The sequence below is a fragment of the Homo sapiens genome, chromosome 15 (genome assembly GCF_000001405.40).
Source record: "Homo sapiens chromosome 15, GRCh38.p14 Primary Assembly".
NCBI lineage: Eukaryota > Metazoa > Chordata > Mammalia > Primates > Hominidae > Homo > Homo sapiens.
In genome coordinates, this window is record NC_000015.10 from 47407297 (window position 1) to 47434316 (window position 27020).

The 27020-nt window shown below is 37.9% G+C and overlaps 1 protein-coding gene across 1 annotated transcript in view; it reads left to right on the forward strand.

The window, feature by feature from the left end:
• Positions 1-27020, forward strand: part of SEMA6D (semaphorin 6D) — a 590140-nt gene that overhangs the window by 223208 nt on the left and 339912 nt on the right. Inside the window, exon 2 of the mRNA NM_001198999.2 lies at positions 5097-5176. The gene's annotated coding sequence lies outside the window, so the exon portion shown is untranslated. The remainder of the gene's footprint in view (positions 1-5096; positions 5177-27020) is intronic.

The window sequence follows — 27020 nt, forward strand, 5'->3', positions numbered from 1 at the left end:
AGAAGGAGGTTGCAGTGAGCTGAGATCGTGCCACTGCACTCCAGCCTGGCTGACAGAGCAAGACTCTATCTCAAAAAAAAAAAAAAAAAAACCAAAACAACAACAACAACAACAAAAAAAACAAAAAAAACAAACAAAAATACTTAATAAAGTGAACAATTCCAAACAACCAGAATGTGTGATTTTCATCATTATTTTGGAGGTACTTAGGCTGTCGTTGTTACAAAAATATTTGGAAATGTTGACTTGAAGTAGATGTAGTATTGTTACTGAGGAGCAGAGAAGTTGATGCATTTATCTGTCAAGCCCAGTTCCTACCCACCTTCTTGGTGCAAAAAGCTGCCAAATACCTCATATATGTATAAGGTGGGTAGTGTTTGGAAAGGAGGATTGGGAGGTGCCCTTTAAAAGTGGTATACACAAAGTGCAGACCTGCAGTTTTTACATTCCACAACTGTGAGTTCTTATCTTTTCTGAGACTTAAAGATTTAGCATGATTGTCAAGGCACATTGGATGGATAACCAGCCAGAAGCTCAGATGCTTGCAGATGCTGCTGTCAGTTTGCATCATCCTTTCGCAGGGGGATGGCGCCCTCACCCCTTCTCCCTCCTTTCTGCACCTTGGTGGTGGTGGTGGGGTGGGGGTGTTGGGAATCTCCATGTGAAAGGACGTGGTGAAGACTGGCAGTCTGAGGTTGGGCCTCAGAAGGAGGGCAGTAGATAGGACTCTTAACCAAGTTATCAAGGACCTGCGGTTTTTCATTTGCGCTGTCCAAATCCCCTTTCTCAGTAAATTTCAGCGTTTTCTCCTCCCATCCTTGTGACCTGGTGTGGAAGTGGAGAGAGGTGGTGGGTAAGACAACTACCTTGGCATGTTCTGGCATCCTCAGACAGGCCTGGGATTGAGCCCCGTCTCTGCCAGCTACAACTTGTAGCTGTTTGACCTGGTTTAAGTTATTTATCCCCACTGAGACTTACTGCATCTGTAAATGGGGCATAATAATGTATCTACTGAGTAGTGTTTTCAAGACTTAGATTAAGTAATATATTTTAAATATCTTATGAAAACATACACAGAACAAAAACTAACAAAAATATACTTTCCACTACCTTCTTTTTGATTTATAACAATTTATTAACAATGACTCTGACTTCCTTCTATATCACACTATCCTTATCTATAAAAAAGGGTAAACTAAATAACTTATAATGCTTGCACACTAGTAAAGGCTGAAAATTCTTCCACTTCCAGTGCTATAACCAAGAAATAAATGAGGTTGCTATGTATATTCTAAGGTATGTCGAGATAAAATTGCACAGAGAGATTAAAAAGGGGGAATCTGATCTAGGTATTATTGGACAAGTAAAGTGTTAATAAGCAAATAGGTATTGACACAATGAGGAAAGACACACAGAGCCTGATGCTGTTAGGTTTAACGAAAGCAATTTGGATAAACTGATTTATGCTAAGATAATAGAGATTCTCCCAGAACTATGTTTGTAATTTAGAAGAGGGCAGCTCGAAGGAAGCATGAGCCTCTGTCTTGGGGAGTAGGTGCTTCTCCCTCCATTCCAAAGCACACAGGCAGGAGTGCAGCAGAGCTTGCAGGAGGCTATAGTTCCCCACTGGACACTCATCTGCATGAGTGCAAGGACTCCGTCTGTTTTGTTGCCAGTTGTACTTACTGAATGTTGAACTTTGGATAAATAGATTAGTATCACTGATGCACTTCAAGTATTATTGTCTGAGTGTGGGGTAAAATCCAGGACAAGAGAACCTAGTGATCTTTTTAGAATAGCAATTCTCCTGGAACACTTCCTGAAGACACCTCAGAGCACTTTTGCAAATGCTGATAGTTTATTTAAGCTTGTAGACAGCTTTTTCTTGCCTATCGTACAGCTGTGAGTGTGGGAGCACAATTCTCTGAGGACCTGGGCATATGTTCTCTCCTGGAGGAAATGTGGGAGAGAGCCCCAGGGAACACATTGTACCCCTCTCTCTGCCAAGAAAAGAAAATCCTGCCTGAAATGCACCCTCAGCCAATGAGAAAGTATGAGCTGGAAACAGAGCTTTAGAAACTTAACTGTGTATTAGAATGAAGAGTGAGTTGGTGGATGAGTTGGAAATTCTGGGTTCCATTTTTGATCTTCCACCATAATGATATCTCCCACATACTACAGAATATGGTAAACTCTCTGGACTTCAGTTCCTCCCCCATAAATAAGGAGATTAGTCCAAAGACATGTTAATGTCAAGATACCTTCCAGCCTGTTGCTCTCAATTTTATTGGCACTTCCTAGAATTGTGAAGCTGGAAAAATATTCAGATTTTTCTAATTCAGCTTTTTTATTTCATAGATGAGAAAACTGAGTTGTAGAGAGGTGAAGTTATTTGTCAAAAGCCACCAAACCAAGTAGAAGCCAAGCTAAGGTTAAGACCAGTATCCTCAGACCACCAGTCCAAAGGCTCTTAATCTGTTGAGTCATAGTCCACCTTAAAAATCTGATGCAAGCCCTGGACATGCTGGGAGTGGGGAAGGGATGGGAGGAGCAAATGCATCACAAGTAAATTCATAAAATTTGCAAACTATTTTCGGGGTTGTGGGGGGGGTGGGGAGGCAGGTCTTAGATTTTAGGCTAAAAGCTCTATGCAACACTTTATTTCTGAAAGTCGGTGTTAGAACCAAATATTTAAGAAATTTTTTTTTTAAACAGGGTCTGACTCTGTCGTCCAGGCTAGAGTGCTTGGCTCACTGCAGCCTCAACCTCCTGGGCTCAGGTGATCCTCTGACCTCAGCCTCCTGAGTAGCTGGGACCACAGGCATGTGCCACCACGCCCAGCTAATTGTTTTTGTATTTTTTTTTTTGGTAAAGAAGGGGTTTCTCCATGTTGCCCAAGCTGGTCTTGAATTCCTGGGCTCAAGGGATCCGCTTGCCTTGGACTTCCAGTTGCTAGGATTACAGGCAGGAGCCACTGCACCTGGCTAGAACGTTTTTATATGTGATGGGAAGTGTGCCTCTGGCTTCTTTGGCTTAATAGCTTCATTTGTGCAAGAAGCATCAAAACACACTGGAACAAATCTAGGTTTATATCTGCCCTCCAAATAAGTGTTACTCACATGTTTTATTGATGGCAGTTTCTGATTTGTAAGAAGCCAGTTCCCCTTTTAAATGTTATAGCTGTTGTTCCTCTTACAAATACTTCTGCTAAATTCGGTGCTCCTCATTTGTCGACCATAGTCAGATAATACAAGGGGCTGGCTAAACAGAAAAGGTTTTCTCATTAAGTGAATCTGAAGGAGGCCTCTACTAATTAGTTATTGAATTGGATCTTTGGGGTAGGTGCATTAAAATGACCTGTTCTTCTTGAAAATATATAGCATATAGCCCTGGACCCCAGCCCAGACCTATTGATTCAGAATCTTTAGGAAGTAAGGCCAAAGAATCTGTGTTGTTACAAACTCTCCAAAACCTCTTATGCACACTCACATTTGAAAACACCCATTCTCAATACTTGCCCAAATATTTTCAGTCTTTAACAAAACTGACCTAATGATAATACTACCCTAAATGATTCTTTGGTCTTTGAAATGGTGAAATAATGCAAGATTCAGACCATAATACAGGTATGGAAAACATACCATTTAATTTTTTCAAAGAAAATATTTTTTCTCTCCACTTAAATACAAGGAGATGAGTGGCTGTGGCCTGACTCATGCCATGGTGGACACGGTGTAGGGTATCAGCTTTTCTTCTTGGTGGTCCTCATTTTCCAGATGATTCCTTAGCTGAGTTTTTTGTTTTGTTTTGTTTTGTTTTGACAGAGTCTCACTCTGTTGCCCAGGCTGGAGTGCAGTGGCACAGTCTCGGCTCACTGCAACCTCGGTTTCCTGGGTTCAAGCGATTCTCTTGCCTCAGCCTCTGAAGTAGCTGGGACTACAGGCGCTTGCCACCACGCCCGGCTAATTTTTTGTATTTTTAGCAGAGACGGGGTTTCGCTGTGTTAGCCAGGATGGTCTCGATCTCCTGACCTCGTGATCCGCCTGCCTCAGCCTCCCAAAGTGCTGGGATTGAGTTCTTGTTTTAATATTCACAGTTGCATGCATGCCTGCCATTGAAGAACTACCCCTATAGTTCTGCTTCATTTTATTGAAATACAGAAATATCAAGTGTGTTATTCCAAAAAAATACTTTAGCAGATGGTAAATATAAAACTTATATCTCCTCTTAGCATCAAACAAGCTAACATACACACTCATATACCGGTAGAACAAAAACTTATCTAAGAATGACAAAGTCTGACATTTTCTAACTTTAAAACACCTTGCCCTATTTCTGAAACTAAGGTTTCTCTGGTTTTCAAAGAGGCTTCATAGAACTCCTAGGGATATTAATTCAGCTGCTTTTCACCCCCTCTGTCTTCAGGTTTGGGTTTCTTGAGTGCTTCCATGGGCTCGCATTTCTTCTGTGTCTGTGTGGCCACTTCCGGGTTCAGATCCCTCTATTCCAGTAGCGTGGTCAGAACAAGATAAATTCACTCCAGCCCTCAGAGCCTCATCTCAAGGTCAATAGAGGGAATTTGGAAACTTCTCTTGAGTAAGAGTATAGGTTATCCTTGTCCACTGTGACAAGGGACTCAGTGAAAAAAGCAGTTGCCCTCAACTACCCAATGTGTGGCCCAATGTGTGGCCCACAGCCAAAGTCTGTGTGCACAGACTTTGCAGTCACGTAAGCACATACTTCATTAAAATTGGGTTGGTTACTTTTTTCCCCCACAGAGACCATGTCCTGATTGCAGTTTATTAAAACTCCCTAGGCAGTGTACCATTATTTGTCCTGCTTGTATTCATGAATAGCCTGTTTGCAATAGGAACATCCAGGTAGAGATCAATAATCAGTCTCATAGTTAGGGCAGAGAGAGGAAAAAAAAAGAAAATCCACTGGTGCGCTGCATTCAGCTGTGTTTAAGAGGTCTTATCATTAAAGCAGCAGCAGGCATTTATAAACCAAGCTTGCCGGCAGTGCTGGGCAGACAGGATTAGAATAATCATCCATCAGGCTCTGTTTCATGAATGTTTTCCTTTGACTTTTGGCAGGATCTCCAACCTGAGCATATGCCAGTTGACATGGGAACACTGAGGCCAGCAATTTAAGGATTTCACATTTGCTTGCAGTGGTAAGATTTAAATATATAACAACGAAGGACAGTAAATATTACTGGGTTCTGCCTTTTTCCATTAGATGTGAAACTGAAGTTGTTTAGGTATATCTTTTTTGATCAGTAAAGATCTCTGCTCGCAAAACCATAGCAAACACAAGAGAAATCCATAATCCATAAGTACTGAACATAGTGTTTGTTGGTACGAGTGAAAATAGGGAAACTAATAATTAGATTTTTTAAGTGTCTGCATCATTGGACTAAGTGGAGGAAATGGTTTCCATTTTGAACAATGAAACTACGTGTATTCAGAAGAGATATGATTATACAGCACAAAGAGACACAGAGTTTAAGATCAATGGGGAGAAAGAAAGGGAAAATGACTCTGTTTTCAATTCTGCATGGGGCAGTCATACCCTTAACATGGGTCCAGATATTTGGTTTCTAAAACAACCACATTTGCAGTTAGTTAGGAGATTACGTAAAAATGAAGACTCTCTGAGGCCGATGACAGTGCACCTCCACACACTGGACACTTGCTGCTGTCAGAGACATCTGTATGCCATTACTTAAAAAGAGAGTGATAATGGTGACTGTTGACAGACGGATGGCAAATTGTGTTACTGGAAGTTCATTTTGAAAAGGGAAGTCTCCCACTCCTCTGTGTGTATGTGTATTTACATATATGTGTGGACAAACACACATATACTCCCTCCCTTAAATCTGAGGCCGAAATATAATATTGAAAAAAGTAATAATTAAAATTTACATTCTTAATAAAAGAGAGCACCATCTCTGGAAACATTTTCAATATAAAGTAGAAATTGCACCATGATAGGGTTAAACAGTCAAACAAGATCATCTAGGCCTCGGTGGATTCTTTGAACCCCGTTTTGTTTAATAGGTTAAATTAAAAACATAATACCCATTCCATTACCATCTTCCTTTAAGCCAGATCATCATGGAGTGAGACTATATTTGGTACATTCAGTTCTCTGAGAGCTACCATTTTAATATATTTTCTTTCTTTCCTTCTTTCTTTTTTTTGAGACAGAGGCTTGCTCTGTCAGCCAGGCTGGAGTGCAGAGGCACAATTACAGCTCACTGCAGCCTTGAACTCCTAGGCTCAAAGGATCCCCCCACCTCAGCCTCCTGAGTAGCTAGGACTACAGGCAAACACCACTATGCCTTCCTAATTAAAAAAAAATTATAGAGATAGGGTATCACTGTGTTGTCCAAGCTGGTCTTGAACTCCTGGCCTCAAGTGATCCTCTTGCCTTGGTCTCCCAAAGTGCTGGGATTACAGGGGTGAGCCACTGCATTCGGCCACTAATATAGTTTCTATATATTTCTTAGTCCCCATTTTCATGTGGTCTTATAGCAGATCCATGGTGCACTGAGCAAAATGTGACTTTGAACAGCCTGATTTGCTCATTCTTGTATACTGACCATGGCCTTACATCTGTGAATTTCTGAAGGATGTATTTTGGAAATTCAGCATTCATATTTAGTCCTTTTAGTATATTCTTCTCAAATTGCCTTGCTGCTTTATTCAGTCATATTATTGCAGTAACTTTTAGTTTAATAGCTTGTATTTTCAAAATCTATTTATGGAACAATGGAAGAATGATTGTAAAATAGCTTGGAAGATGCATTACCTAAACTGATACCTGGAAGTGATGATATAACTTCACACTTTTATGCATATAAAAGTAAATGAATGTATCATTATGGTTTCTTTTATCTGAATATTACATTCCCCTTGAAAATTAAATAACTTTGCACTTGAGTTTCATGTTTTATTTCATGATTTAGAAGTGCTTTCTAGGAACTACCACCAAAGCCTAACTTCTATACATAAGTCGTGGTTTCCTCATACATACATGGAATTTAAGATAACATCCTAATTAGAGTCATTAAATCTTAGATGTCAGAAGGGGCTGAGTTAAACTGAACAGGGCTTTTAAAAATCCCCAAGGTTGAGCAATGTGAGGAGGAAAAAAAAGTAAGAGAAACACGCATGTGATTGGCCTTAATGAAATTATAAGCCTCCAAGGAAGTGGCCTACAACTCACATCTGGACCACAGAAGTCATCATTTCATCTGAACTGTATATATCAAATTATGCTTTTTGTTATCAAAAGTGAAAGTCTACAAAAGAAATCCAGTAGACCATGCTAAATTGACTTGCATCATTTAGAAAGTGGGAAGATTTTCTTAGAACTAGCCTTGGAGCCTCTTGTCTCTGTAGAGAACTAAGGACCATACAGAATCCTTTTCCACTTCTGCATATGAGGACACTGTTGAACAGATAGACTTGTTTGAGAAATAATATAATCATGTAGAGTGACAGAGTAGAAAAGCACTAATGTAGACACCAATGTACCTCAATCTTAATCCTAAAACCATACCTGATTTTGCTGGATAGGATTTTTCTTCTTTTGTCTCTAAGATTTTAAATAGTCTCTTAAATGGCAGGCCTTAGTTTTTAATTTGTAAAAGGGGTTTAATATTTACTCTATTCTCTGTAGACTTAGCTGGAGATAAAATAATAAGTAAAAAATACTTTTTGGGACTTCAAATCACTACACAGAATTTAGTATTGCTAGAAAGTTGATTCCTTATTAATAGCACTTGTCTGATTTGAACATTAGGTCAAAAAAGCATCTTCATCGATCTGGTCTGTGTTTTTACATTGAATGAAGGCTTACAGTTGCTCTGAGCTCTAATACACTTGACTGCTCTTATTAAATTATGATAACAACAAAATGCAATCATTATAACTTTCCCTGAATTGTGTGTGTATCTATTTTTAGTGTTCTTAATGCACTGATCCAAAATTTCAGTGCTCTAAAATTACTCCAAATGAGAGTATGGGAGGTTATAGAGGAAATGTTTACAATACAATCCCTGTCAGTAAGGGGAGTAGAAAGGGTCTCTGGGACTGATCCTTGTGGTAAAGCCGTCTTTCTCAGACCTCCTTTTCTCTAATTCTTTTCAGATGCAGACTTCCTACCACAGCAAACCCTGTGTATCTTCCTGCCCCTTCTCCTCCTCTCTACCCGCTCCCGTCTCCTTTCTCCTCTCCTTCACACCTCAGAAAGTCCTTTGATTGTTTACAATCCAGGTTTTTTTTAGCTATTGACCCACAGCCCTCCGCTTCCATAAATCCTGCTTTAAGTGTTTGATCTGTAAGACAAATATACCCCCATAGCCCTGAGTTTACTCTCTGACTCTGTTTCATTACAAATGTTGTAGACAATCAATATGAGTTGGGGGTGGGGGGAAATGTCTTAGGTCAACAAACACAATTTGCTGGAACATACCATAATCTTTGCCCTTGCAAAGAACTGTTGATCACACATCCTTTAAGAATAAAGCCAAGTTGTTGGAAAATGTAACTTAAATAATACACAGGAAATTCCAACAATTACACATGACATAAAAATCTTTCAGAGCTCCCAGTTCATGTACTAATGTTAGAAGCAATCAAGGACTATGAATAATGGATGAAGTTAAACATAGTGGCCCAAATTTTCATCCAGAGTGCTAGAGAAGAACGTTAACATAATGGATGTGGGTCAAAGAAATTGCCTGACATATGAAATACCAACCAAGAGTATCATCCATTTATTTTTTATTTAGGAGTAAAGTTTGCACACCATGCCAAGGTCACCATTGTGGAGATACTTACTTGTGTGCACTATGGTCCTCCCTAATGATAACGATATTCTTCCCCAGTCCCAAGACCTCCAATCACATGGCAGCATCATTTGTACCTTCTGTGACAATTAAAATCCACCCTCATTTCTACCAATTTGTTCTCCCAAGAGAACAAAAGTAACTAATAGTTCCTTCAAGCCTGGGTATGGTCTGTTTTGTCCTCATGTTAGAACTTAATTTAAACCTTCCTTGGTCACAAAATTCGGAAACTAATCTGGGAAAGTAACCAAAGAGAATTAAGATGAGAATAAGGTTAAGTATGGGAAATGTTGTCCTAAAATACTCCACCCAAATTTCCATGTGTTTATAACTGACTCAATTAGCTTGAAAATTAGTTTGAAATCATCATAGCAGATCATACTACTAATAGTCAAACAGTGTACTCACAATCTGGCGGGTCTGGCTACGTCTATTATTTCTAGCATTTCCAACTCAAAAGGTAATTTCTCTGTTCAATCACTGACCTCTGTTTCTCCCCGAAGCCAGTGTGGAGGTAAGATATAATCAGCAAAGAGAGCTCCTTAGGACCCTTCCCAGGAAGAGGATCAGAAAATTATGGAAATTGACAGAGATTCTAGTAGGGTCTCTAAAATCTCAGCTATTTTTATTAGCGTTTTGTGAAGCTTCAGAAAACTGCAAGTATTTTCTATTCTAGTCACCCCCTATTACTTTGCAGCTGATCAAAATAGCCCATGACTAACAATAGGAACCCGAGAACCGCCATAACTGCAATGGTCCCATCTATCACTCAGACATTTTTGGTGTAATAAAGTCAAAAGCAAATTTTCTTCTTTTATTTTCAAGTTTTGCATCTGACAAAATGTCGTTAGAGCTCAGTGACTTATGAAAAATTGGGACAGATTGAGAGCCTCTGATAAAGGCAATCTTTTTTATCACTAAAGGATTCTGCTAAATTGAGGGGAAAGGGGAGTTATAGTTCTTAATAATGTGTTTTATCAACCACCTGCAAAAATTTTTAATTAAATATCTAAAGATACATTATACGATATTGTTGTAAAAGGCACAAACATGATTCCAGAAACATTTTAAAAGCTTGAATATTTAATATTTATTTGTTTTAGAGATAGAGGGAAAGGGGAGATGAGAAACGTAAATTGTGTAATCATATTATGATTTCATCCTCATATCAGGCAAGAAGATATGCTCTGACATACCATCCCATGGTTATGTACTTTACCTTTTAGACTCTATCTGCTTATACTGTGTGTGTGTATATGTGTGTGTGTGTGTGTGTGTGTGTGTGTCAGAGAGAGAGAGAGAGAATATCAATGTCTGAGAAAGTAGAGTTATCAAAAGTAAAACTTTCAGAGGTTGCCTGAAGGGGCAAGATTTACCAAATATCTATTGTTTAAGGAGTGACAATTACTGCGATTAAAAATAGTAATTTTAGAATTGTTCAGGATTTGTATTAATTCTTAATGTTGTTTTGGTGTGTTTTTCAATGAGCTGTAGTGCCATATTGTCATGGCACTACCATGACAACTGTTGTATCCTTGGATCCCCTGAAATCTTGGTTTCATAAATGGAGGATATCATGGTAAAAATAGACATCTCTAAATATTAATTTTCCATGTGAAAGACATTAATCACTTTTTGTTTTTTCTTTTCCTAATCACTCATGCATCCATTTTTTTTTTTGCAATTCATTCATTGAACAAATTATCGATCACCATGTAGGTATTGCTAGACAGTGTTTTGTGTATTGGGGATACTGAAGTAAACCCAACAGATAAAAATGTCTGCATTCAAGGAAGTTAATTTTCAATGGAGGAGATAAACGATGCATGGATAAATATATCTAAAATATAGCATTTATATATTTTATATGCCCATATATATTTTATATATAGATGTGTGCAAAAAGAAAAAAGAGGAGATATGAAATGGTATATGGGGCTGAACTTTACATGGAGTGGCCTGGTAAAGCTTTTCTATGTAGATACCTTCTGAGAAAAAGACTTGAAGGAAGTGAGACAGCAAGCCAGGCAGAAATCTGAGGAAGATTGTTCTAGGCAGAGAGAACAGTAAGTGCAAAAGCTCTGAGACAAGAGAATGGGTAGTATACTTGAAAATTAGCAGGGAGGCTATTCAGTCTGAATCATTACAAGGATCACTCTGGCTGCCATGCCGAGAGTGTCTTAGTCTGTTCATGCTGCTATACTGGGTGGCTTATAAACAACAGAAATTTATTTCTCACAGTTCTGGAGGCTAAGAAGTCCAAGATCAAGGCATCAGCAAATTCAGTGTCTGGTGAGGGCCCATTTTCTTGTTCATAGGCCGAGCCTTCTGTTTGTCCTTACATGGTGAGAGAGGCGGTAAAGCTCTCTGGGATTTTTAAAATTGCAATAATCTCATTTTTGAGGGCTATACCCTCATAACCTAATTACCTCCCAAACACCCCACCTCTTGATACCATCACCTAAAGGGTTAGGATTTCAACATAAGGATTTTGGCGGAACATGAACATTCAGAGCAGAGTAGGAAGAAACTCAGGGTGGGTAGGGAAGGCATAAGTAGGTAGACCACTTAGGAGACTGCTTCAATTACTTCAGCAAGAGAGGATAGGGTCCTGTGCCTAGGTGGAGAAGGTGACCTTGACTAAGAGCACAAAGAACTTGTCTGTAAGAACAGGAAAGGTGTGGATAGGTGGGAAGAGATGGTAGTCACAGGATATGAAAGTTCTCTTTTGATTGTTTACCAAATGTCAGTCACATTAGACTGCGTAAGTGCAAGCATACAGTGATCATCTGATTGAGTTTAAGGAGGGTTATGATTCCACCAGGAAAGTTCACCAAGATAAAAAGGAGCTGGGAAAATATTACAATGATCCTCTATGGAATTTAAGCTGGAAAGGAGAGAAGAGGGAAGAGAGGATTTCATGAGAGAGCTATGTCTCAGAGACACAGAGAGTGAATTTCAGGTCCTTGTGGGATTTTAGAATTGTAGGAGTTAGGGTGTTAGAAGGAGTGATCAGGAAAAATAAGAGATCATGATCATAGAAGAGAATATTTAAAATTGAGATTTTTGCAAGGAGTGCAGTTATTGATCACCACAAAGTCAAGTGTTTGACTGTGGAAGTGAGTGGCTCAAGAAGGATGGCTGATGAAATCTCTAAAAGCAAAGTAGTCCAGAAACTGAGAAACAGGATATTGGAAGGATCATGCCATTGGATATGAAAATGGCCAAAAATTAAATAAGGATAGTATTAGAGAAAGTGATAATGAGCCATATGCTAAAATCTCCAATGAATGGAGGGAGAATGAACTGGAGGATGGTGGAGGAAGCACCAACAAGAGAAGGGGAGTATAGCCTGATGCCATGAAAGAGAAAGCTGGAGTTTTATTGAGGAAGAAGGACAAAAGGCCTGGACACAGTAATGAAGAACATGGAGGACACCTACTATACTTTTATGCTCCTTGGTAAGAGGGATCTAGGAGAGTAAAAGCTATCTCTTGAAAGGGCTTTAGTGGAATGGGCGTTATCTGGAAAGTCAGATTTCAACTAGTGCAAAAAGGTGAAAGAGAAGTTTCCATAGGAAGTAGAGAATAAACAGATTTACTGATGATTGACCTCAAGTCCCAGAGGATTCAGTGAAAGACTTTCAGGAAGTATGAGGCCAAGATCAGAACAAGTAGTGAACAAAGCCACATGAGGATTAGAGAAGAGGAGATAAAAGATGACCTGGAAGTGCTGGGCTGATGTGGTGACTGATCTGCCATGGTGCAATAATAGCTGGTCTGCTGGTCCAGGGCAGGTGGTGGTGGTGAGGCTATGAGCATTGAGAGGGAAGAGAGTTATATGCAAGTTTTGGGGGTGAGACGGACCTTTCCAAGAACATGAAGAGCTGTCAGGTGGTGATTGACTGTTGCTGAGGAGACTGTTATCCTTCAGAAGGGTGATGTGCTCAGAACACACAGATACCCTCTTAAGTTGAGCCAAACAGTGGCCTTCAGCTTGGTGGTCTTACACTGAATGGGCTGGTTCCCTCTGAGTTCATCATTACAGAGCCCAATAGCTCAATTTTAATCAGAGGATACCTTTGCCTTCCTTCAACAGTAGAACATTGTATTATTGGGCTTGTCATATACAGACTAACTGTGAAACTGATTTTCGTCATTTAAAGCATTCTTTTGTGATCTTTGCTGTTTCTCCCCTCAACCTATTTATAAACCTTTCTTCCCCCTCCCCTAATTTTCTCTCCTAACCTATTCTACTCCTTGATGCTGTGAATGAATGAATAAATGTATGTCCATTGCCTCCAATGTCTCTGGAAATACTGCCTTCTCCCCCTCTGTGCATGCTAGTTGCCCCATAGTTTTGCCCATCTTCTATTTTGTGCATTCTGAGCTGTGTGAAGGTATGTGCATTGCAAGTCCTAGTGGCCCTCTCCATTGTTTGTCCTGATATTCTGCCTTTGCTGAACAGATGTGAGAACTGTTGTTGAGTCATAAGTGACTGTTAACTTTTCCTCTTTTTATCTAAAACAATTCTAAAACCAACATCTTTTTGGGAAGGATGATAATATTCATATAGTTTTTGGAGGCACTACCTATGATCAGTCATTCTATGGGACTATAATAAAATGCAAGTTGTAATGAAATCTAAGGCCTCAGGCCCACTGTCTCCAAAAAGTAATTTTCTGTTTGTGACCTTAGGGGCAGCTATTCAGTTCTCTAGAACAAAAAAATGTACATATGAAGTAGATAAGAATAGAATTACGATCACAATTAGTGACATAGACCATCAGTACCATTGGGGTTATCATGAAGCATAAAATTGCTATTTCTCTTCTTATCTTACAATGTAGAGATATTGCAAGGATTTTAAAGTCTAATATGTTTGGACTTTTTATTGAAAGTAGATGATACGAGTCAGTGAAGAACACATGATTTAGGTAAATGAACTTTTCTTAACAGTTAAAATTATTCACTTTTCATCCTCACCTGTACCATTGGTTATTTCTTTATTGACATTCCAAGACAAGATTCAGTCCCCTTGTTATACTCCTCATTCTCCCTTAGGTTCTCAATCTCAGGTTCTCACCACCTGCAGTTTCTGAGGCAGTGCCATATAGAGTAAGAGCATTGGATATGACAAGAAAGGACTGGGACTGGTGTCTGGCTTTGCTACTTACCAGCTATACAATGCTGAAGACATCAGTGAAGTGCTATTATCCTCTATTTTCTTATCACAGGGTTGCTATGTTTAACTACCCTCATGTATTTGAAAGTGCTCAGCACTTATGAAGAGTAGTTCCTAAATAAATATGCACTAATAATTTATGTTTATCATCTACTCCTTGGTTTTGGCTTCAGGTGATAGATTAATTTTAATGCTTTGTTTTTGATGCTTCCTGTTTCTCTGGCATCTGCAACTGTTCATTCCAGTTTTCTGCTTAAGGATTTTTTTGCCTTTACTTTCCACTTGACTGATGAGTGTGTACCATATGAGATTAGATTTGTGGTTGGGATGGGGAGGTATTAGGAGACTCTCTTTTAGATAAGGGGGGATCAGAAGTAAAGGTGCCAATGACATGTATGACAAAAACTAAATATTTATGAGGTTGAAGGGAAAGATGAGATGATGGGAACCTGAGTGTCAGTTGATGGTAAGAAGTTATCATAAAGTTAACCTCTAGCAATGTCCATAGTGTGTAGGACTACAAACAGTAAAATAACATTTGACTGTCTTTTCTAGAATCTATAAATAATCAATTTAATAAAATAAAATTCTATTGTCTCCACGTAATTATAGATATGTAACTTCATAGTGTGTAATTTTGATTTCTTCACACATCTTCCTTAGCACACAGAGCACAGAATGTTTAAGAACTAGGAAGACCGAAACTATTCAGCAAGAACTAAGAACCACAATGTTAAGGGGGTCCATTGTTTATTTTTTTTTCTTTAGAGGATGAAAACCAAAGGTCAGGTGATTTAATTTAAAATTAACACTCTTATTTTTTGCCCGCCCGCCTGCCTGCCTTCCTTCCTTCCTTCCTTCCTTCCTTCCTTCCTTCCTTCCTTCCTTCCTTCCATTTTCTTATAACTGCATATTGTTGGAGTCTTTAGTCAGGTATCATTGAATTAAAAACCAAACCTAGTAATCATCATCTTTAAGTGATGAAGTATGTACAATGAAACTCCAAACAGTAGAGACAGTTAAAACAGATAAGTTTCCAAGCTCAGTTTCTTGATTGATACTACCTTTTCAAAACAGTTGGGTATTCCATGTCATTTAAATGGCAAAAAGAAAAAGAGAATATATTCTGCCTGACTGTGTCTCTTTGGTCATCTTTTCACACTCCATTAGAGGCTTTATCCAACTTTTGTATTCAGACTTCATTGTATTTTTCTGGTGCTAGAAGAAACTTCAATGAGGACATGATGAATGTCCATATTAAATTAGATTCCCCTCCCCTTTCAATTAAGTTCATTTAAATTTAATTTTGTAATCTTACTTCAGTAAACCATTTGACTCCAGATGTTGGATGTACTTTTTCTTATTTCTGCTTCCACATAATCATACCTGTAAAAGATTTATCACTGCAAGAGGCATTTTGGAACCTTTCAGAGCATTTTTGGCATATGTTTCACGGATGACTGGTTAACATGAGCAATTAACATCCTAAAATGTTCTTATGCTCTCCAGAATATTTTTAATGGGATGTTATTTTTATTAGCCTGAACTTTAAACAAATAATCATCTTAAAGGAAACATTATCATCAAAACAACTCAGTTGCAACAGAAACCCAACCCTAAAGGAAATTGGTAAGAGTGAGGAGAAAAAAAGACCTTTGGGCTAAAACAACCTTTAACAAAGATATATAACTGAAAGGCAAGGCTTGGCCTTTTGCTAAAATAAGAGTTATAAGCAGAGTTCCTGTTTCTTCCGAATGACTCTGAGTCACTTCTCTGTGTGCTGTAATGCATATATTATAAAGTGATGGGCCACACCTCTTATGCTTAGGGAACATTTAACTCTGGCTTTTGGTGATAGAACATTCAGATCAATCAGAACAACCCAAGCACTACCTGCTTTGCACACCAAAAATAGAGACTCACACAAGTGTATTTGAGAAACTATAGCTGCCTTGGAGCCTAGAATTCAGACTTACTCCATTGATAAATGATCTTCACCATCAGCCCCTATCAGGCATTCTTAGCCACATAAAAGATTGCTAGTAAATAGCCTTTCTTGTTCTTAGAATTATTTGAATGCTTACAGTTGTTCTGAATCTGCCTTCTTGCTTTCTTAAGTCAAAGCTTATTTAATAACATACTTGATAGCCCTCCTGGGACCTTGTCTAATGAAACTCCTAGTTCTCATCAAAGAAACATAGACTACAATTCAACCTTTAGATGACATACTAAAGAAAAACAGCAACTACAAATACATAGGATAAAGAAATCATTTTTTTTTTCCTCAAGTGAAAAATTGTACTTCATGTTTTGGATATACAATAATGTGTCTTGATGTACATGAAATATTCACCACTACAGTAAACAAGTTAGAGTATGGATTTTTCCTCATACTTAAGGGACCCAGTAAGCAAGCTCTAATTTTATTCTTTTACAGTCTTGTTTTGCAGGGACAGGTATGTGTCTGTGCCTTGGTGGTGGGGTTTGTCTAAAACCCACCAGAGTTTAGCATTTACTGTTTCCAAGTGCTTTTCTTGCTCAAAGTACTAAATAATACTAAAATCATTTAAAGATGACAGTTACCATTGCAACCAGGCATAATTTGTTTGTCCATAATTGACAGACAAAGAACTCACGTTTTCTGCTTATATCTAATATAACAAAAGCTCAGAGAATGATTCTGTGAGTCATGGAATTTTGCAACTTTATTAAATTTTAAATAGGAAATCAGTGAAGGCCTAGAGATGAAAAATATCTGAAGCAGCAAATGGCATGTATAGAATTAATAAATTGTCATGCTACTCAGTGTATTTGTTTAGAGAGTAGCTATGCTAACTAGGAAAGTGCACTCGAAACATCCTCTGATTAGAAGACTACCTAGTGACTATTTGCCAATACCTCTAATTCCTGCTGGTAATCGAAAATAGATGTCTAACATGGAAATTTAAAGAGAAGGATTGAGAATATATACAGAGCCGTAAGATATTGCATACATTTCATGAAATAAGAAAAAAAAAAGAAAATTAGTTTTGAAAAGAAAAAATTAATTGTGCTTTCAATTGCTTCTATAGATCAGTTATGATGAAATAAAACAGATTTTAATGAAATAAACATTTTGTCTACCATAAGTGTCAGTCAAATTAGAGCCTATCGGTTTGTAATAACTTGGAAAGTAAGTTCAGAATAAATATCTGAGACATTGTCTCTATCCTAGAGTTATTTTTTAATGTATTTATTCATCCATTCATCCCCCAACAATGTAATGAATATCCTTGGTGCAAAGCAAGTGGTAGAGCGTCAGAAATCTGAAAATAAAAATCAGAGCTAGGTCCTACTGATGTAGGTAGAATAAGTTTGAATAAGATATATGAATTGTGGGGGCAAAGGGAATTTTTCCCTTCCACTTCTGAAGGTTCAAGTCTTCTGAGATAAACTGACAATAGATTAACAGGAGCAAAAGCATACAAATTGATTAATGTGAACGTGTGCATGGGAGTCATACAAAATATGAGACTCAAAAGGGCCAGTTGGTTGAGGCTTACATAGCCTCTTAATCTGGGAGAGGGAGGTGGGAGATGCAGGCAATTTTGAAGGGTAGTAAATGATTTTTAGGGGAGTCAAATGAGCCCCAAAAGCAGAAAATGGTCTGGGACAAGGTTCCTCTGAGCTCTGGAGGTGATGGCAACCAGTTTTGGAAAGGTGAGGGGTGAAACTGCACTGTGAACTTGTCTTATTATGCAGATAAAGTTTTCCAGGCCATCTCCCGGAGCTTCCCTCAGAGGAATCATTGAAAAGTCTGTCATATTGTGGTGATGACTTTTAGTCTTTTCTCTTCTCTGGTGGGTAATCCTTCCCTGGTTATTTAGTGAAATTCTTAATGAGGAAGTTTCAAGACAATTACATTATTTTGGGGGAGGAAAAAGTTTCCTCAGCGAGATAGGGGAGCTTTTCGAGTGATCCCCTATCTGCAGTTGGTGAGTGAGAAGAGAAACCTGAGACAGAAAGTCCCTGATTCTGAGGCTGCCTCTAAGACCTTTTAATTAATTATTTATTTTTATTTATTTTTAGTTCTAAGTGCTCAGCAAGCCAAAGCACCATACTTTGGGGTATTGCTTTCTGACCCCCAACAGAATCCTATGTTTGATCCATGTTGGCCTACAAGGCTAATGGGCTAATCAAGGACACCCTCAAAAGGAACATTAATTCCTTGTACTGTGCTTTAGCTTTTTTACCCCTTGGAATAATACTGCTGTGGTTTTATATGCCACACCTTCTTCTTAAATGCAACTGAAATTTGTTTCACTGTGCCTAAATGGTATTTAAGATACTTTCTTTTTTTTTTTTTTTTGAGACAGAGTTTCACTCTGTTACCCGGGCTGGAGTGCGGTGGCATGATATCAGCTCACTGCAACCTCCGCCTCCCAGGTTCAAGCGAGGTAAAGCGAGGTAAAGGTACCTTTTCCTCCATTTTCAAATTTTCACAGAATCTGGGGACACTTTTAGGACTGGAAACAAATTTATTCTCTTCCATTTATGATCTAAAGTCTCCCTTCTAATTTTCCAGCCTAATAAACACCTGTTCTAATTACTTTTAATCATTTTCTGCTGGAGATTTTGTGTGTGTATTGGCTATAGGCAGGTGTTTTGTAATAATTAGGGGAAATAGCCTGTAAGACACTCCTTAGTTATGCTCTATATACTAATAAATGCTACTTTTTCTATTTGTCTCATGTCTTGAAAGCCTTTTGTGTGAATTTTTGATAGGTTTCCAAATTCTACAAAAATATACACATGGATTTTGTATTACTTAGGATCTTAGTGCAAGAGTTTTTTTAATTTATGTTTTTAGAGATGAGATCTCACTATGTTGCCCAGGCTACCTTTGAATGCCTAGGTTCAAGCGATACTCTTGCCTTAGCTTCATGTGGCTGGTACTACAGGCATGTACCACCATGCATGGCTTTGGTGCTAGAGTTTTGTTATTTTGTTCTGTTTTATTTGATATTGTTGTCTAATGGGTCCTCGTTTTATCACAAGAACCTGCAGAGCTTCTGATGCAGAGCAAAACAGAATAGTTTTGATCATCAGTACCCTGCAGGCAAGTATTAGGATTAATTGAATCACCTGTCTTCTAGTCCGACATTGTGGGGTACGTGAGGATGCGGTCTTTATATAGGGAAGGATAGGGCCTTAGAACCATTGCTAGTAAAATCTTTTGTCCCAAGAGCTGCTAGTTTAAAAGCACAGGAATACAGAAGGAAAGATTTGAAGATAGATTTTGGTCTTTTATTTACATTTTCATTATCATATAATAGCACATCCCTGATGCGTACTCCCTACAGGGTATAGAAACTCAAACTCTTTCTCTCACACACATACATATATAATACCAAATATTTTTCCCCCAAGTAAAGCCCAATGCTAGAAAGGACTAGTTTTGAATATGTTTTATAATATCCTAAGGGCTGCTGTGAATTTTTATTCTTGTTACAATTGTGGTAATGAACTGTATAAATTACACAGTTTTTGTCTGCCAGATGCAAGTCATAAATCTGAAGAGAATATTTTCTGTTAAAAAGACATAATGATCATTTTACTGATAGAGTTTAAATGGTAGAAATCACATGCTTCTTTATATGGGTTAAACTATTGTAAAAAGGAATGAATAAGTCAGGTACCAAATGCAATTTCAAACACCAGTAGGGTGTTATAAGACGTATTTGCATTTTCTTTTGTGATTGTATTGAAGTAAGGTTCATTTACAGTGATAGCATCATTTAATTTCATTTAAAGACATGACATTGCAAGTATCCATAATATGAACAACTTTAATGGGGAGAAAGGAGGCACTGATGGAGATCAGCATTGCCCATCCTGTGTGTTCTAGGACACAAACTGCAGAAGGTGTTGATCAATAGAGTGATCCCTTGGTCACATAAGTTTGAGAAACACTGCACACAAACCTGCTGTATAGTGCATACTCCACAGCCACTAGGTCTGGGAGATGCTATGCACTCATGTACAGTCACAGCATGCAACCATGCACAGCAGCAGGTTAAATGCGCTGAGAAATATTACATTTTAACATGTTTTAGCTTATTACACTCCTTTTCATTCTGTCACATTTTATAACAGCCCATGGAATTATGATTCAGTGGAAAATTCTTTGGAAAATCTTGATCTCAGAAATACTATCTTTTATATCTTAAATGAATTTATTTCAAAAAAGAAATGTACACTTGGGAAAGGTCACTGGGTGTGACATTACAAATATTTGCTAAATATGTGACCTTGGGGATACCATTTAAACTTGCTGTGAAGTGGAAATAATGTTATCTTCTCTAACTCACAGTGAGTCATTGAATCCAAAGTCTAAAAGAGATAGTGCTTTTATAAGCCTTTTGTAATCCATGAAGCACTCTCATTTGTGGTATTTATCCTTATCGTTATTGTTATTAACTTTAAGAGTTCTGCCCCAGAAGTAGTGAAGAAATTCTTATTTATCCTATTGGAACCCTTCTTGATTTCCTAAACTCCCTTACCAAAGTTCTCTTACTCTCTCTTTCTCTGAGGAGCCTGAGAAATTGTATATTCTTCTTAGGGAAAAGATAAATAGAATGGGGTATACGAAACAAGATAATCTAATAAATTTCTTTCAGACAAATTACTTTGAAATAGCTCACCAGAAAATGTGCAAGATTTAGGTGTTTCATCATGTTATGCAAGAGATCTATGCTTAAAAAATGTAAAAAAAGAGAGAAGAAGCTGAACATTATTAATAACAACAATATATAGATAAATTTAGGTGTAAAATGGTCCATCTACCTGCTCATATTGCAATAGAGGCAAAGATAAATAAATCAACCACTGAGAATTTATTTAGCACATATTATATACCCAGCACCACGACATATAAAGAGAAAAGAATAATGAGTTTATGTTGATCAAAGGTTTTACAAGCCCATTGTAGGGCTAATATGAACACGTAGTGTAAATATACATCAATCAACTCCAGCTTTGCAGAAGACCAGAGTATTTTTAATTATAACCATGTACTGCAGTTCCAAGAACAAAAGAAGTTCTAAGGATGGAGAGGTAAAAAAGTATTTAGGCGCAGATCTACCCTTAAAAGTGGGTAAAATGGGGCAAGGTGCAGTGGGTCACACCTGTAATCCCAGCACTTTAGGATTTAGGAGGCCAAGGTAGGTGGATTGCTTGAGGTCAAGAGTTCAAGACCAACATGGCCAACAGGAGGAAGCCCTGTCTCTACTGAAAATAAAAAAGATACCTGGCCATGATGGTGCCGGCCTGGAATCTCAGCTACTCAGGTGGCTGAGGCACAAGAGTCACTTGAACCTGGGAGGTGGAGGTTGCAGTGAGCTGAGATTGCACCACTGCACTCCAGCCTGGGTAAGACTCTGTCAAGGAAAAAAAAAAGTGGGTAAGATGGGTTTCTTATGATTTTTGTCTCCCTGGCAATTGGTATTTACGTACCTTGTGTATTGTCAATACTCAGGTACTCAATACAAATGTGTTATGTAATTGGATAAATAGAAAAGAAAAGAAGTGGAAAGAAGGAAGGGAAGAGGAGGAAGAGAGGGAGGGAGGAAAGAAGCAAGGAAGGGCCGAAAGAAGGAGGGAGGAAAGAAGAAAGGGAGGGAGGGAGGAAGGAATGAAGGAAGGAAGGAAGGAAAAGGACAGGAGGAAAGGAAATTCCAGTAAAATAGGGCATCCCACTAAGACCACAGCAAGTACTAGTGAGTGTAAGGCTTCCTGAGAAGAGAGGTGTGTGAGTTGCCTGCCCAACACCCAGATGCAGGTACCTAGAGGGAATAACGATACCATGCAGAGAGCACCAGAGTTATCATTAGAAGTTATAGGCTGGCCAACTCCTGGCTCTGCTGCTTACTACCTGTGTGACCTCAGATAAGTTGCTTAAATTTTCCGAGTCCTCTTATACAATGAGGTGCTTTCTTTTTAGCATTCTTGTAAGAATTAAAAAAGGTTTGGGAAGTTAGTAAAATGTTAGGCAGCTGTGAGATAACATTGTTATTACATATGGAAATGAGATGAAGCTCCAAGAGGTCATGAAGTAAGGAATCTAGCCATTCTTTCAAAAATCTGGAGTAAATTGCTAAGAGGGATTTTATCTGACTTAGGTTTGCAATATCTTTGAGCGTATTGTGTTATCACCCTATTGCATATTTGGTGGTAAGGCAACAGAACACCAACAAAATTATGCATTGACCATAAGCACTTGGCTCTCCAGCCACCAACTGCCTGGGAAGGAATGCAGTGGGGCAGATGGTATTTTTCTGAATCAACTATTATTATATAGTGTGGTTAAGGCCACTGTGCTCTGTCCTGTCAAAGTCCACTGATGATTAAAATGGTTCAAGAGTATTTAAAGATAATATATATATTTTTTAAAAAATGTCTGTTCTTGTCTGTGGGAGTTTTGAAGTTTTCAGAGTTTTTGTGATCAACTTAGTTGACCTTCTTCAATGACTAGAAAATTACAGTTTGGGGACCTCAGTAGCAACTGAGTGGCCACCTGTGAAAAGTTTCTCTTACCTTCTTGCACCTTTAAATGATGTAACACAGACCAAGCATCTTATATGTTGGTTTGGAGTTCATCCACTATAAGGCACCAATACAACTACATCTGAAAGTAAGAGGCTCTTCCTATGTGCTTTCCAACCTGATTCAGCAGTGATTCCCTTGAGTACTCAGAGGTACCAGAACTTTCTCAGAGTGAGGGAAAATAATAAAAATGCAGTATGCCAGCCACTCTTGGACTTTAGCATTAATTCCTTACACATCCTTCTTTTTTTCCCACTTCACATCATTCCCCCAAAAATCTCCTCCTTAGTAGGGAAAACCATTTTCCCTGCTGTAGAGAAAAAAAGAGAATTCCTTTTTGTTAGCATAGGAATCTACCACAAAGGAGGAGGGAAACACTCCTGTTTTTCCTTGGGGACCATTTTTATTTGCATGGTTGCTGCAAACTCTGTCCCTTTCTTGATGTGGGTTTGCCTTTTGTCTGTGATCATCCAGGGAGTTTTTTTTTCCTTCTTTGGCATCTTATCAGACTGGGGGCAGGTCTGGGAAAAATAATTGTGCTTCCTCAAAAATAAAATATATATTTTTTACTCAGGTAGATGAAAGGGCAGAAACATAGGCACAGAGACAGGCTAATGTGGGCTGGGTCTCCTGGGTGGCAAGTCACATTGTTCAGTGTCTGCACCTGGAAATACTAAGACAGACCAGACAGACAGGAAGAAAACTTGAAAAGTGACCAAAACGAAAGAGCATATGTTTCCTTTCAATGTTATAACTTGCCACCCTGCCCCCATTTCTACTCCATTCCCCCACAGGCCCAAGGTAATGTCTCAAAGTCCAGGCGTCATCTCATGGAGAAACTACCAAGACCAAGTCAAATGCTACCACCCCTCCTCACTCTTTACCATCCCTCTACCATTTCAGCGGTGTAGCCTCTTAGTTGAGGTGGGATGGAGGTGATGAATTGCAGGAGCAAGGCTTCTCATCTGGGAAGCCCAGGTAAGCCCAGCAAAACTCAGATGGTCATGAGCCCTAGCCACGGAGTTCTTTTGTGAGGCAAGTCATAGCAGCCAGTCCCCTGGATCATAGATGGTGGCCATTTCTATAGCTATCAATAAAACTCACAAACTCTAGATAAATTACACTCTCTTGTTGATTCAAATAAGATTTTTTTCTCATTTAGATTGAAATAAATTTTTACTTTTGTTTTTCAAAGAACAGACATGAAAACTATTGGGCTCATGGTCTCATTTTTGAGGATGGATGGCTATTTGTATGCAAGGTATATAATAATGTGAGTCTTAAGATTTCTCTTTGTAATATTTGATTTAAGGGACTTTTATCATACAATTGAATATCATTTTTATTTTGTTTATTAAATTAAATAATAAACCAAATAAAATATGTTTAGAAACATGCCCTTCAAATTAACACCTCAAAGCACAATTTGAGCATAACACTGTAGTTTAAACAGTTCCCTTCCCATTTCAAACATTACCTGGAGACTAAATAGCTTCAAACCCAAATCTTTACCCCTTTTTCTGTATCCTCATTATGAACATAATTTTCTCTCTGTAACTCTTCCCACTATTCAACAAACCTACATCCTCCCGCAGTGATTCCAGATTTTTCACTAACCACACCTTCTTGGTAGACATAGATGGAGTTGTGGGCTGGAGATAGGGTTGACTGGCAGAACTGCCACTATGGACAGCAGGAACACTGTTTGGTCATTGGCCCTTGAGGTCTAGCATGTGCATATGAGTGAATCAGGCTGGTCCCAATTCCAAGGCCACCCACAAAAATGCTTCCTGTGTGATCTGTTTTGAATGCCTTCTCTTGATTCACATGCACGAAAGAAATGCACAGTTTAGACTTCAGATACAGTACAGTTGAAAATGCTCGTGACATCATGCCTTATGTGACTAAAAGATATCTTAGTGTTTCTGTTGAAACAAAGATAATAATTATAAATAAGCCTCTTATTTATTTCATAAGTGTCTTCTGTGTATGCACAAGCCTTTGCATTCATTGAGACAACCTGGAAATGTGATAGATGTATCAATGGTTTCTTTTTATTCTTCTAAATATCCACCCCCAACCACCCGCAATGTTACATGGCTGGGCTGGGGTGATGTTCCAGGGCATCAAGCAATGTGTGAGGCACTGAGATCTAAAAAGATATTTTCTTTTTTAAGAGGAGAGCTATGTGTTCACAAAATCATTAGTGAACCCTAAAAGAGCCAAGAGCAACTTCAGACCTGTTAATACTCACACTGAAAATAAATGGCAGGTCAGACAATGTCCATGCCATAAAACTATGTAGATATGATTCTTATGTCTTCTGTCTTTGTAACATAGAGATAAGAAGAGAGAGTAGGAGCAAAAAGTGCTTTCCTGAATAAACATGATTTATAAATATGGTTCGATAGAAACACATGAAAAGTAAATTTTGTTGAGACTGGTGAAATTTTAGAAGGGGAAACAATTTTCTTATTAAAACCTAATTGTTCTCTGATTCTTTCTCTCCTTCTCTTCACCCTGTTTCTCTTTTTCTTTCCATAAACACACACATTTATTTCTATATATATATATACACACACACAAACATACATATGCATATATACATACACATATGTGTTATGTGTATATACATATACGCATATGTATATACATATACAGCTATATGCATATGTATATACATATACACACACAATTAGTAAGTACTCAGCCCAAAAAAGAAAAAAAATGGCAAAGTGACTTGACTTGGTCTGAGAAGAAACAGAACAGGCAACTGAGCTGAAAAGACCATGTGACCACACTTGAGATGAAAAAGCAACTCTATAATTAACCACTCCTAATTATGATCTGAGCATCACTTAGGAGAACCACTGTGTGGAAAAACTAAAAGTGCAAATGATTAAATGTATGTCATTTTTGCTTTGGTGAGAAGTGTGCATTTTTAAGATGTAAAAATTATTTTTCAAACTAAAATAAACTACACTGTCAGTAATTCATCAAAAACTTAATGAGCTTTTTTCTTCTTAAAGATTGGGTAAAATGATTTTATTACTTGTGAAGGAATCCTTCCCATATTTATAGGTTACTCAAAAATTTTGACTAATTCCACAAAAATTTCCTGAGGCTTTGTGGCAGACAGTGTGCTAAGTGCTGATAAATAGTGGTATATTCCTCCTTATAAGCTGTCTATAGACTATAAGCTATATTTACCAATTTTGATAAATGCTATTGGTTCTTTCTAGACATTGTCACTTTCTTCTTAATTATGTTGTTAATTTCTGTTGCTGAGCTCTTTCCATAGACAACGCAAACATAAACTTGAATTGGGCTCTTCAATTATTTGTTACTGGAATACTAATAAAAGGTTGTACATTTATTGATCTAGAGGCATTATCGCCAAGTATTTATATATTTATATATTTATATATTAGACATATATCCAAGTATGCCATTATAAAATGTGTCTTCTAAACAACAGATGCAGAATAACAGCAATAAAAACCACAGTAGAGACTTCAATGACTTTTCATTAACCAGTCAACCTCTCCAGCTAAACTATGATTTTGCTTCAAAAGAATAGCAGGTTTTAGATTTCAATAAAAATTGACCCCTTGTAGAGATGTTTATGTGACTATTACATTTAATTTATTTTTTGCTTTATTTTATCAGAATCTTTTTCTGCCAAACATTGCAATTCAATGTTTTATAGATCACACATTCTGAGACCGAGTTTTAGTTGAGGTTAGTGATTAATTTGAAAAATAAACTCACTGAAGTTGCAGAGTATGGGAGATACCTGATTTATAGATATAGAAAAACACCACCAAAACTTTGGAATTCCTGGATAACTCTTAGTCTCTTTCCAAAGCACAATGGGGTAAACAGAAAATATGGCTTAAATGTCACATTCGGTTCAATTATAAGATGTGGAAGAGATTAAGATAAAGAAATAATCAGTAATAGAAGCATCATCTTCTAACCAGAGATTCCTTATGCATTTGAAAATATAAACTATGAGATGGACTTTCAGTAACTACATCTACATACTGAATATTAAGGTTTTCAGCAAGAAGTAAGTTTTCATCATCTGAATAAATTCCAAAAGTTGGCTAAAATCATAAGTGGTGGTGTTGAGGTGGCAGAGAAAAAATGAGAAGGCCACAATGACAACCATCTAAGTAAGAGATGTTGAGGCCTCCACTGAAAGAGAGTCAGTGTTATTAGAAAGTGAGAAACAGTGTGCAGTAGCATTGGACAGAGTGAATCGATTTGGAGGCTGAGGGAGAAAGGGAAGAACAAGGTAACTGTGTGGTTCAAGCCTGGTGATAAATACTGAAAAAACGGACAGAAATGAGCAGGAAGGAAGCAGTTTGGAAAGAGGGGTTTAATCCTG